The 15,315-nt window shown below is 32.1% G+C and overlaps 1 protein-coding gene across 4 annotated transcripts in view; it reads left to right on the top strand.

Moving 5' to 3' along the window:
- Positions 1-15,315, top strand: part of REDIC1 (regulator of DNA class I crossover intermediates 1) — a 282,118-nt gene that overhangs the window by 79,186 nt on the left and 187,617 nt on the right. For all 4 annotated transcript variants that reach the window (NR_135051.2, NM_001031748.4, XM_005268806.4 and 1 more), the window contains one exon: positions 11,388-11,470. Coding sequence is in view for 3 of the 4 variants with exons in the window: in NM_001031748.4 (NP_001026918.2) it covers positions 11,388-11,470 (83 nt within the window). In the remaining variant the exon portion in view is untranslated. The remainder of the gene's footprint in view (positions 1-11,387; positions 11,471-15,315) is intronic.

A 15,315-nucleotide genomic window follows, 5' to 3' on the forward strand; every position in this document is an offset into this window, starting at 1 on the left:
ATTCTACAAAACATGTAACGAAGAACTAATACCAGTCCTACTAAAAATATTCTGAAAAATGGAGGATGAGGGACTACTTCCAAACCCATTCTACAAGGCAATGTATTAACCTGATACCAAAACCAGACAAAGACATCAAGAAAAGAAAACTACTGATCAGTGTCTCTGATGAATATTGATGCAAAAATCTTCAACAAAATACTAGCAAACAGGATTCAACAGTATATTTAAAAGATTATTCATTATGACCAAGTGGGATTTATCCCTGGGATACAAGAATGGTTCAAGATACACAAATCAATCAGTGTGATACATCATAATAACAGAATGAAGGACAAGAAACATATGAACATTTCAATTGATGCTGAAAAAGCATTTGATAAAATTTAACATCCCTTCATGGTAAAAACCTTCAAAAAATGAATATAGAAGGAACATAACTCAATATAATAACAGCCATGTATGACAGACCCACAGCTACTATTTTACTTAATGGGGAAGAACTGAAAGGCTTTCCTCTAAGATATAGAACATGACAAGTATGCCCACTTTCATTTTTATTCAACATAGTACTCTAAGTTCTACTGGAAGTTCTATCTAGAGCATGAGACAAGAGAAAGAAATAAAGGGCATCCAAATTGGAAAGAAAGAAGTCAAATTATCCTTGTTTGCCAATGATGTGGTCTTATATTTAGAAAAACCAAAAGATGCCATAAAAAACCTATTAGAATTGATAAAATCAAAAAAGTTGCAGCAGGCAAAATCAACATGCAAAAATCAGTAGCATTTTTATATGCCAACAGTGAACAGTCTGAAAAAAATTTTTAAAGTAGTTCCATTTACAGTAGCCACAAATAAAGTTAAGTACCTAGGAATTAACCAAGGAAGTGAAAGAGCTCAATAATAAAGACTATAAAACACTAATGAAAGACTTTGAAGAGGACACCAAAACATGGAAAGATATTCCCTGTTCATGGATTAGAAGAATCAATATTGTTTAAAATGTCCATACTACCCTAAGCAATCTATTCAATGCAATCACTATCAAAATACCAATGACATTATTAACAGAAATTGAAAAACCAATTCCAAAATGTATATGGAACCATAAAAGACCAAGAATAGCCTAAGTTATCCTAAGCAAAACAAACAAAACTGAAGGAATAGCATTCTCTTACTTCAAATTATACTACAGAACTATAGTAACCAAAACAGCATGAGAAGTATAGTAACCAAAACAGCATGAGAACTATAGTAACCAAAACAGCATGGTACCAGCATAAAACAGACACATAGACCAATGGAACAGAATAGAGAACCCAGAAACAATTCCACACATTTCCAGTGAACTCATTTTTGATAGAGGTGCCAAGAACATGCACTGGGAAAAGACAGTCTCTTCAATGAATGCTGCAGCGAAAACTGGTATCTGTATGCAGAAGAATGAAACTAGACCCCTGTCTCTCACCATATACAAAAATCAAATCAAAATGGATTAAAGACTTAAATCTAAGACTTTGAACTATGGAACTACCACAAGAAAACACTAAGGAAATTCCCCAGGACATTCCTTTGGGTAAAAATTTCTTGAGTAATAACAAGCATAGGGAACCAAAGCAAAAATGGACAAACAGGATCACATCAGACAAACAGGATCACATCAAGTTAAAAAACTTCTATACAATAAAGGAAACAATCAATAAAGAGACAACCCACAATGGGAGAAAATATTTGCAAATTACCTATCTGGCAAGGGATTAATATAATGTATAAGGAGTTCAAACAACTGTATAGGAAAAAATCTAATAATCTCAATAAGAAATAGGCCAAATATTTGAATAGACATTTCTCAAAAGAGACATACACATGGCAAAGGGGCATATGAAAGGATGCTCAACATCACTGATCATCAAAGAAATGCAAATCAAAAGTACAATTGGATATGATATCACCTCGTTTAAAATGACTTATATCCCAAAGACAGGCAATTACAAACGCTGATGAGGATATGGAGAAAGGGAACCCTTATACACTACCAATGGTAACATAAATTAGTACAACCACTATGGAGAATAGTTTGGAGGTTCCTCAAAAAACTAAAAATAGAGCTACCATATGATCAAGCATCCCACTGCTGGATATATACCCAAAAGAAAGGAAATCAGTATATTAAAGAGCTATCTCCACTCCCATGTTTGTTGCAGCACTGTTCACAATATCCAAGATTTGGAAGCAACCTAAGTGTCCATCAACAAATGAATCACTAAACAAAATGTGTTAATTAAACACAATCTAATAATCTATACATAATCTAATAATGATAATTATCATTGTTTTATAATGTTTAATTTCTTGAGAAGTTACACCTCCTTGCATTTTTTAAAAAGTTTTTTTCTGGTTATTCTTGATTACTTTTTCATATAACCTTTAAAATCAACTTGCCTAACTCCAGAAAATAGCATAAAAAAAGAATGATCCTGTCATTTGCAACAACATGGATGGAACTGGAGGTTATGTTAAGTGAAACAAGCCAGGCACAGAAAGACAAACAACACATGTTCTCACTTATTTATGGAATCTAAAATCAAAGCAATTGAACTCATGGAAATAAGAGGGTAGAAGAATGGTTACTAGAGGCTAGGAAAGGTAGTTGTGGGGTTGGGAGGGTGGTGATAGTTAATGGATACAAAAAATTCAATTAGAAAGAATGAATAAGATCTAGTATTTGCTAGCACAACAGGGTAGCTATAGTGAATAAAAATTGAATTGTACATTTTCAAATAATGAAAACAATGTAATTAGATGATTTGTAACCCAAAGAATCAGTGCTTTAGGGGATGAACACTCCAGTTTTCATGTGATTATTATACATTGTATCCTTGTATCAAAACATCTCATGTGCCCCATAAATATATATGCCTACTATGTATCCACAAAAATTAAAAAGTAATAACATGTATGTTTTGCTATGTGGCAAATGTTTTCTTCTAGTTTAATATTGGTTTTTGATTTATTTTGTTTAGTCTTTGCATATAGTGTCTCTTGCTTTGCAGAAGACTTATCTTCTTTATGTAGTTAAATTGATCAATTTTTTCTTTTATTTCTGGGTTTAGACTCTCCAGACTCTTCACACTTCCAAGTTACAAATGAACTTACCATATTTTCTTCTAGTACTAATATGCTTTTTAAAATTTAGTTCTTTAATCCATTTGGAGTTTAAGTTGACTTAAGGCATGAGGTTTCTATCAGTCCAAGTTTTAAAAATACTTCTTTTCCCTAGGTATTTGTGATATTACCTTTTTTATATAATAACTTTCCATATGTAGCTGACCTATTTTGTGGCTTTCTTGTTTCATTGATCTTTCCTAATCTTCATGTGCCAATACCATACCGCTTTTATTATCTTTTTATAAATGTTTAATTTCTTGAAGAATTATATGCCTCTTTGCACTTTTTAAAAAGTTTTTTCCTGGTTATTCTTGGATTGTTTTTCCATATAACCTTTAAAATAAACTTGCTTAAGTCCAAAAGAAAAGTTTTAATTTTTACTGGGAAACTGTTAACTGTATGTGTTAGTTTAGTATGAAGTATTATCTTTATAATGTTGAGTAGTCCTGTCTGAGAACATAAGATGTCCTTTCATTAGTTCAGTCTAGTTTTTTACATTTAGTAGTTGCGTAAAATACCTTTAAGCACTTTCCCGAAGTTTTCCTCACATAGATTCTGCATGTTTCTTGTTAGATTTATCTGTAGTGCTTTCTGATACCCAAACACACACACACAGCTACTTTAGCATGAATATACATCCTGTGTTTCTATATTAAGTAAGATTCTGGATTTGGGGCTTAGACTTATGTGTTTTTTTTTTTTTTATTTTGCCAATAGCTTTTTTTTCTTGTGAGGTACTTTTGATGAATCAGTAATTTGGGAGAGAGTGATTCTTAGCATCTATGGGAATTATTATTAATTTTTATTCATATGTCTTTTTGCATTATTGTTGCAAAAAGGCATGCAACATAAAATTTATCCTCTCAACAGTTTCCAGGTGTACAATACAATATTGTCAACCACATGCACATTGTTGTGCAACAGACCCTCGTCCTGTCTCTCACACTCCCTAAACAACAATTTCCTACTTGCCCCTCCCCCCAGCCCCTGGCCATTACCATTTTACCTTCTGTTTCTGTATTCTACTTATATAACTAGTAGGTGAAATCATGTGGTATTTGTCTTTTTTTGATGGCTTGTTTCACTTAGCATAATGTCCTTAGGGTTCATCCACTTTGTAGTATGTAACAAGATTTCCTTCTTTTTCGTTGCTGAATAGTATTCAATTGTACGTGTATGCCATATTTTCTGTATCCATTCTTTCATTGGTGGTCATTTAGGTTGTTTCTGACTCCTGGCTATTGTGAATAATGCTGCAATGAACATAAGTATGCAATTATCTCTTCTATTAGATATATACTCACAAGTTATATTGCTGGATTATATGGTAGTTCTATTTTTATTTTTTGAGAAATCTTCATACCATTTTCTGTAGTTGCTGCACCATTTTATATTTCCACCAGCAGTGCAAAAAGATTCCAGTTTTTCTACATCCTTGCCAATATTTATTATTTTTTGTTTTTTTCTGACAGTGGTCACCCTAAGAAGTGTGAGGTGATATTTCATTTTGATATAGATCTTTTTAAATGGTGAATTTTACTAATGGATTTTGTGATTTGGACCATCTTAGCATTCCTGTAATAAATTCCACCAAGTCCTGATGTGTTATGATTCTTTGCTCTTCTTTTTATTCTGTTCTTTTAAAAAAATTTAATACTTTTTAAGTATAAGGTTTTCGTATCGGTATTCATAAGTGAGGTTTTCCTGTAGAGAGATAATGTGTGTATATGTGTGTGCAATCTTTATCAGATTTTCATATTGATGTTATAACAGATACACAAAAGTTTTAAATGTACATACAGGCAAAAATTCAGGCTATTTGAAAGCCTTCTTGAAACTTGAATCTTTTGCTGCTTCTCTATCCCAATTTCACAGCTTTATTGCAGATCATAATCACTTCATACCTAGATTATTCAGTTAATCGTCTAACTGACTTGATTTCATCATCTCACTTCTCTTTAATTCATCCTTAGGTGACATCATGGACAATCTAAAATGTACCTCCATTAATGTTTAGAAATATTTACACATTCTTTTCCCTCTATCCCATATGTTAGTTTTTCATATTGTCTCTGAAAATTGTTGGTTTATTCATCATTCAAAACGTACTCTCTATACTTATGTTTTCTCTATAAATTATCACCAAACCTCTTTCCCTGGGGTTCATCACACTTAGCTGCCTACTACTTTTGTATCTTCTATGATGTCACATCTTATTTTGTGACTTAAACAAATGTATATCTTTCTCCATTACAAGGTTCTGAACACTTTGAGGGCTCTGACCATGTGTCTCTAATAACTATCACAGTGCCTTACATAAAGTAGTTACTCAATAAGTGTTTTTTTTTCAGTATTCTTTTTTTTTAATTTTTACCACAAGTTATTGGGGTAAAGGTGGTATTTCCTCACATGAGAAAGTTCTTTAGTGGTGATTTGTGAGACCGGTGCACCCATCACCCGAGCAGTATACACCGCACCATATTTGTAGTCTTTTATCCCACTTCCTCCTCCCACTCTTCCCCCCAAGTTCCCAAAGTCCATTGTATCATACTTATGACTTTGCATCTTCATATCTTAGTTACCTCATATCAGTGAGAACATACGGTTTGGTTTCCCATTCCTGAGTTATTTCACTTAGTCACTACAAATGCTGTTAATTCCTTCCTTTTTATGGCTGCGTTTTTAATCTACCATATATATATATGTGATGTGTATATATATATGTGATATGTGTATATATCACATATATAGTGTATATATAACATATATGTGTATATATCCATATATGTATAGATCACATATATACATCTATATGTATATATACATATATACACATATACATATATGTATGTGTGTACATATACACATAGATGTATATATGTACTTATGTGTATATGTATATGTGTGTACATATATACACATATACACATACATATATGTATGTGTATATATGTATATAAGTATGTATATATGTGTATATATGTGTATATGTGTATATACATATATGTATGTGCATACACATGCATGTGTATATGTGCATACACATGCATGTGTATATGTGTATACACATGCATGTGTATGTGTATACACGTATGTGTATATGTGTATACACATGTATGTATGTCTATACACATGTATGTGTGTATGCACATGTATGTGTATGTGTATACACATGCATGTGTATGCACATGCATGTGTGTATGTGTGTATACACATGCATGTGTATGTGTGTGTGCACATGCATGTGTATGTGTGTGTACACATGCATGTGTATGTGTGTACACATGCATGTGTATATGTGTGTATACACATGCATGTGTATGTGTATACACGTATACACATGCATGTGTATGTGTATACACGTATACACATGTATATACACATACATGTCTATATGTATATAGACATGTATACATACATATATATCTATGTATATATACATGTCATGTCTATATACATGTCTGTATATATACCTACCTGTATGTATATATACATGTATATATACCTACCTGTATGTATATATACATGTATATATACCGGTATGTATATATACATACATATATACCTGTATATATACCTGTATATATACCTGTATGTACATATACATACATCTATACATGTATATGTACATGTATATATACCTGTATGTATATGTACATACATATATACATATGTATATATACATGTATATATACCTATATGTATATGTACATACATATATACATATGTATATATACATGTATATATACCTGTATGTATATATACATACATATATATGTATATATACATATGTTTATATACCTGTATTTATATATACATACATACATACATATGTATATATACCTATATATATACCTGTATGTATATATACATACGTATATACATACGTATATATACATACGTATATGTATACATACGTATATATACGTATGTATATATACATACAGGTATATATACGACGTATATACGTATGTACGTATATACACGACATATACGAATATGCGTATATACACGACATATGTGTATATACGTATATACGTATATATGTATATACGTATATACATATATATGTATATATAGATATGTGTATATATGTATACACATTTATATTTATGTATATATGTATGTATACATGTGTATATATGTATATATACGTATACGTGTATATATGTATATAGACGTATACGTGTATATATGTATATAGACGTGTACACATATGTGTATATACGTATGTATACATGTGTATATACGTATATGTATATATGTGTATACTCGTATACATGTGTGTATGTATATACATATACACGTATATACACATATGTATATACACGTATATACACGTATATACATATATGCATATACGTGTATATACGTATATACATATGTGCATATACGTGTATATACGTGTATATACATATATGCATATACGTGTATATGTATATATACATGTGTATATACGTGTATATGTATATATACATGTGTATATACGTGTATATGTATATATACATGTGTATATACGTGTATATGTGTATACACGTGCATACGTGTATGTGTAGATATGTGCATATACGTATATATGTAGATATGTGCATATACGTATATATGTAGATATGTGCATATACACACGTGTATATATGTGCATATACCCATGTGTATATATTTGCATATTCATATATGTTTATATTACACATATACGTGTATATATGTGTACACACACATACGTGTATATATGTGTACACACACATACGTGTATATATGTGTACACACACATACGTGTATATATGTGTATACACATATACGTGTATATATGTGTATACACATATACGTGTATACACATATACATATGTATGTGTGTAGACACATACGTATGTATACACATATACATATGTATATATGTGTACATATACATATGTATACATACATTTGTATATATACATGTATACATTTATACATTTGTACACATACATATGTATACATGCGTGCATACATGTGTACACGTACATACGTATACATGCGTGCATACATGTGTACGCGTACATATGTATACACATGTATAGATACGTATATATACATATGTATATACGCATGTATACAGTACATATGTATATATACCTGTATACATGCGTATATACATATGTATGTATGCCTGTATACATGCGTATATACATATTTATGTATGCCTGTATACATGCGTATATACATATGTATATATACATGTATACACGTATATATATATTTGTACGTAAATATACATAGATGTATATATGCATGTGTATATATACGTGTATACATGTATATACACGTATATATATGCATATATACATACATATATATGTATATTTACGTATATACACTTATACGTATATACGTATGTGTATATGTATATATTAAATTATGTGCATATACCTATATATACGTGTATATACAGGTATGTGCATATACGTATATATACATGTATGTACACCTATGTGCATATACGTTTATATAAGTATATATACATGTATATACACATGTATATACACGTATGTGTATATACGTGTATATACACATATATGTACATGTATATACGTATGTATACGTGTATATGTATATATGTACATACGTATATATGTATATACATGCATATATGCGTATATGTATATACATGCATATATGTATATATGTATATACATGCATATACGTATATGCATGCATATATGTATATATGTATATACGTATATGCATGCATATATGTATATATGTATATACGTATATGCATGCATATATGTATATACGTATATACAGGCATATATGTATATATGTCTGAATATATGTATATGTGTATATATGTGCTTCCATGTATATGTGTATATGTATATATGTATATATATGTGTGTTTAGATATATACACACACATATTGTGTCTTCATCCACTCGTTGATTGATGGGCATTTGGGTTTGTTGCATGATTTTGTAATTGTGAATTATGCTGCTGTAAACGTGTGTGAAAGTATCTTTTTTGAATTTTTTGAATATTGATTTCTTTTCCTCTGGGTGGATACCCATTAGTGGGACTGCTGGACCAAATGGTAGTTCTACTTTTAGTTCTTTAAGTAATTTCTATGCTGTTTTCCATAGTGGCTGTACTAGTTTACATTCCCACCAGCAATGTAGAAGTGTTCCCTGTTCACCACTCCCATACCAACATCTACAGTTTTTTTATTTTTTGATATGGCCATTCTTGCAGGAGTAAGGTGGTATCACATTGTGGTTTTGATTTGCATTTCCCTGGTCATTAGTGATATTGAGCATTTTTTCATGTGTTTGCTGGCCATTGGTATATCTTCTTTTGAGAATTGTCTATTCATGCCCTTAGCCCACTTTTTGATGAGATTGTTTGTTTTTTTCTTACTGAATTATTTGAGTTCCTTGTAAATTCTGGATATAAGTCCTTTGTCAGATGTATAGATTGTGAAGATTTTCTCCCACTTTGTGGGTTGTCTGTTTACTTTTCTGACTGTTCCTTTTGCCGTGCAAAAGCTCTTTAGTTTAATTAGGTCCCAGCTATATATTTGTTTCTGTTGCATGTGCTTTTGTGTTCTTGGTCATGAAATCCTTGCCTAAGCCAATGTCTAGAAGGGTTTTTCCCATGCTATCTTCTAGAATTTTTATAATTTCAAGTCTTAGGTTTAAGTCCTTAATCAATCTTGAGTTGATTTTTTGTCTAAGGTAAGAGATGAGGATCGTTTCATTCTCCTGTATGTGGCTAGCTAATTAGCCCAGCACCATTTGTTGAAAAGGGTTTCTTTTCCCCACTTTATGTTTCGTTTCCTTCGTTGAAGATCAGTTGGCTGTAAATATTTGGGTTTATTTCCGGGTTCTCTATTCTGTTCCATTGGTCTATGTGCCTATTTTTATACCAGTACCATGCACATCCCATGCTCATGGATGGGTAGAATCAATATTTTGAAAATGACCATACTGCCAAAAGCAATCTACGAATTCAATGCAATTCCCATGAAAATACCACCATCATTCTTCACAGAACTAGAAAAAACAATTCTAAAATCTGTATGGAACCGAAAAAGAGCCCACATAGCCAAAGCAAGACTAAGCAAAGATAACAAATCTGGACACATCACACTACCTGATTTCAAACTATACCATAAGGCCATGGTCACCAAAACGAGTGTTTAATTGTACTTATTTTCATTTGCATGCCCTTTGCTGTACTGTTAAAGGTGAGAACATTCATTCAGTGGACAAATTTCTTCCCTTCTGATCATGGTGGATTTATAGTACTTATGGACTGAATGAACCTTATTGGGGTGAAATGCCCTTAAATTATGTTGTTAGTAGTGATATTCTACCCTTCACTTTTGTGCACTCTACTTTCATTGTCAGGGAGAAACCTGCTTTTCGGGGGTATAAATTTCCTTCTAGAATGATGAAATAAGGGTATCAGAGTTCAGCTAAGTTCTCTCTGCCTCTCAGCTGACTGAAGCTAGATTCTGTTACAGAGAGCATCAGTCCTGGCCTGAGGTACTCATGGTTTATTGCATATAGTAGGGCATGTGATCTGGTATGTGTTGTTTCATGTTCTGCAGCCTTTTGCTTCTCTTGATAGCAGACCCATTTTCATAAACAAGGGAACAGGAGTGGTTGAAGCTACGGTTGCTCTTTATCATTTATACATAGTAGGGATTCATGACCTACATCTCAATCCCATTTTAAAACTTTACTTGCAATTGTAAAATAACAATATTAAGCAGATAATGAAAATGTATCAAACTGGATGCTTTGAATAGGTTTTATTCGCATCTTTTGATTGCACAGTAAACTTTCATTTACTAGATTGGCAAATGTCTGATGCCTTAGGACTTAATAACTTGGTTTTCTCTTCCTTCCCTCAGGTTAACACTTTAAATTATTAGTTCATAAAATATAATGCATATGTTGGAAAAATCAATCCAACTTTCTCTATTCTGTTTTCTTCACTTACGTTATATACCCTTATTTCATTTCTAGCTACAAATCTTTTAAGGGTAAAATAAACCCAGAAATCCTGTCAGAATTGTAAGGTGCCAAGTATCCACAATTTTAACTAATTTTGGTACATTTTAAAGTGTTTTGTGTTGTTAGCTAAATTTGTTTTACCAGCAGATATCTTCTGCCTGGCATATGTATGTTGTAGATTATTCATAAATACCATTATTCATGTATTAAACCTTTATTTTCAGCTCTTGATTCTGCACAGAGTAGTCGGTCTACTAGTTACTCTCCAAGACCAACAGACAGCTGTTTCAGTTCTAGTTCAGATTTGGTAAGTGATGCTTGTTTCACTTATTAATACATGCTATATTAATAATTATTTGTTTTTCTCATAGTTTACCTTTACCCTATAAAACTGTTGAGTCAATTAAATAGTGGAAGTAAAAATTAATATAAACAAAAAGGTAAAAAATTTTAAAAAGTACATTTAAAAATGTAGAAAAGAAAAATGTAAATAAAAATGTCCATGAGTACCATTTTTCACATTTGTAAAAATGCATTTATTGCCATTTACAAAACACCTTTTATCCTTTTATCAAGATACCTTATATACATACATATATATACATATATATGTTATATATATACACACATACACACACACACACATTATGTGTGTACAGTTTGTCATTGAACAATGCAGGGGTTAGGGATGCTGCCCAGTCAGAAATCTGAATAAAAGGTTTGACTCCGCCAAACTTAACTACTAATAGCCTACTGTTGCCAGAATCCTTACTGATAACATAAACAGTTGATTAACACATATTTTGTATGTTGTATATATTATATACTATATTTATACAATAAAGTAAGCTAAAGAAAAGAAAACGTTACTAAGGAAATCTTAAGGAAGAAAAGATATATTTACTATTCATTAAGTAGGAATAGATCATCATAAATCATCATAATCCTCATCATCTTCATGTTGAGTAGGCTGAGGAGGAGAAGGGAGAGGCAGAGTTGGTCTTGCTGTTTCATTGGTAGCATAGGCAGAAGAGGTGGAGGAAGTAGAATGGTGGGCAGGAGAGGCAGGCACACTTGGTGTAACTTATGGAAATACATCGTTATTTCTGTCTGACTTTTGATTTTTCGTTTCTCTAAAAATGTTTTAATATGGTACCAATTCTTCTTCTACTGTTTACTTTAGCTTCAGAGCCTGTATCATAGAAAGGTCTATGTCGTAAAGAAATCAAAAGAGGTCTTGAGTAATCAACACTTCTGCCAGATTGTCTAAAGTCAGATTTTTCTGGCACTGCTTCTTTTATGTCTTCTTGCTTGTTGTCTGTAACTGGTTGTTAAGTACTCATCTCCATCAAGTTGTCTTCTGTTAATTCCCCTGGAGTGGTATATATTAGCTCTTTAATTTTTCTAACCTCCATATCTTGAAACCCTTCACCTTTCACCTTTTTTTTTTGCCATATCCACAGTCTCTTTCATGATTTTCTTGATTAGCTCTTGTAAATCCTATGAAGTCATGTTTAACATCTACAACAGTTTTCTTCTGCAGGGATTTCTTTTCCGAGTCTTGATGATGTTCATGGCTTTTTCTATAACAGTAATGGCATGTTCAATGGTATAATCCTTCCAGAATTTTATGATGTTCTCTCTCTTGGGTTCTCTCCCATCGCATTGACCATCCTTTCCATAGAGCACAATGTATAATGAACCTTAAAGGTCACTGTGACTCCCTAATCTAGAGGCTGAATTAGAGATGTTGTGCTTCAAAACATGTAAACTATTTTGATGCCTTCGGTGTTGAACTGATGGGATTCTGGGTGGCCAGGGGCATTAGCAATATCAAAATAACTTTAAAAGGCAGTCCCTTACTGGCAAAGCACTTACTGACTCTAGGGGCAAAGCACTGATGGAATCAACTCAGAAAAAGAATTTTTGTTTTCCAGGCTTTCTTATTGTATTACCAAGAAACTGGCAATTGGTGTTTATCCTTCCCTTCAAAACTTGAGGGTGAGCAGCTTTATAAATAAGGGCAATCTTGGTCATAAACCTGACTGCATTTGCACAAAACAGTAAAGTTAGCCTATCCCATCCTGCCTTAAATCCTGGTGCTTGCTTCCCTTCCTAATAAATATCCTATGTGACATTTTTTTTTTCCTGGAATAGGGCACTTTTGTCTCCATTAAAAACTTGTTTAGGCAGATATCCTTTTTCTTCAGTGATTTTCTTTAAAGGCATCTGGGAATGTGTCTGCTGCTTCTTGGTCTGCAGAAGCTGCTTCCCCTATTACCTTGATATTTTTTAAGCCAAAGCTGTTTCTAAAATTATCAAACCATGCTTTGCTGGCATTAAATTCTCCAGCATTAGATCCTTCAGCTTCCTTTTGCTTTAAGTTGTCATATAATGGCTTCACTTTTTCTCAAATCACATTAGCATCTAACGGTATGCCTTTGTCATAGCAATCCTGCACCCACATAAAAGCTACATTTTTAATACAACATAAAAAGGTATTTCACAAAAGTACATTTTCCTTCACAAGTTTCCTTTTCTTTCTTTTTTAAAAGAACTGTACGTAGATTTAGCTTTTGCTTGTGTATATGTAAACTCATGCAAATGAGGCCTTAGAAAGGAAGAGATGACTGTCCTTTAATAGCATGTTCTCAGCACTATATTACAGTGTTCTTTGTTAACTAGTTCCATTCCCTGAAAGAAAAGAGCAAATAATGCATTTCTAAAGGATCCTGCTTATAATTACATTTTAAATGTGTATGCATAAACACATTATAATAAGTATTTATGAACAAAGATAAGAAATAGCACTTAGCCAGGCATGTTGGTTCATGCTTGTAATCCCAGCATTTTGGGAGACTGAGGTGGGCAATTGCTTGAGCCCAGGAGTTCGTGACCAGCCTGGACAACATGGCAAAAACAAATACAAAAAATTAGTCAGACATGGTGGCGTGTGCCTATGGTCCCAGTTACTGGAGAGGCTGAGGTGGGAGAATCACCTGAGCCTGGGAGGTTGAGGTCACAGTGAGCCATGATTGTGCCACTGCACTCCAACCCAGGCAATGGAGTGAGACCCTGTCTCAAAAAAATAAAAAAAAATCACCAATAACATGTTATCAACACTAGATTACAAGTTTGTCTATTTGTTAAACAGTTCAATTCTCTGAAAGAGTATAACTCAAATTGCATCACTAAAGAAGCATGTTTAGATTTACCTTTTATTTTTTATTGATGTATAATATTTGTACGTATTTAATTGGGTATATATGATGTTTTGTTACATGACTCAAATGTGTAATGATCAAGCCAGAATATTTAGGATATCCATCCCCTTGAGTATTTATTTCTCTGTGTTCGGACCATTTTAAGACGTATCTACTAGCTATTTTGAAATATACATTTTTCAGTGTCAATCAGCTAAAGCCTATACCCCTTTTTATATTTAGTTTTTTATATTAACTTTGTATTTTTAACTTGAATAATCAATACTTTATATAAGATTTTCATTAAAAGAATATTTTCATTAATTCAGTAATTAAAAGAAATTTTTCAAGAAGTTTGAAAAATTTATGCTTAGAAAATTGAAATCTAGACCTATTAAAAAGTTCTTAAAAAAAGTTCTTAAAGGTTGTCTTTTTATATAACAGTTGAGATATGTATTGCTTATGTATTGCTACTTAACTTTTCTTTGTCTATTTAATTTCCTATTACCTGATGCTCTTCTTAAGTTATGTTATCTTCTTAAGATTATATATATATATATTTCATTGGACTGGGCCCATAAAAAGCATACAAGTAGTTATTTTTTACTTAATGAATCAATAAATAATTGAACAGGTTATATGTTAGCTGTTTCCTTCGAAGGTACTTCTTCTAGTCTACTCTTTTTAAGTGGAGGAAGTATGCTGCATATCATTTCTTCTGTTGAAAGGGTAGAGAGATGATAGAGCCTGTGATTATAGGGACTAATAAAAGACAAAATTTCTCGTCTCCTTTTTACCTCTTTTGCATTTTTATTACAAAGATTATTATTGTTACTGCTATTTTAGAATTCATAGCCTCCTGGGAGGTATAGCAGATTATTGGTTGAAGACTCTTTGATGATATACCTGCTTTGATTTGTAACTTGCCAAACTCTCTTCTGTATTTAGA

The sequence above is a fragment of the Homo sapiens genome, chromosome 12 (genome assembly GCF_000001405.40).
Source record: "Homo sapiens chromosome 12, GRCh38.p14 Primary Assembly".
Taxonomy (NCBI): Eukaryota; Metazoa; Chordata; class Mammalia; order Primates; family Hominidae; genus Homo; species Homo sapiens.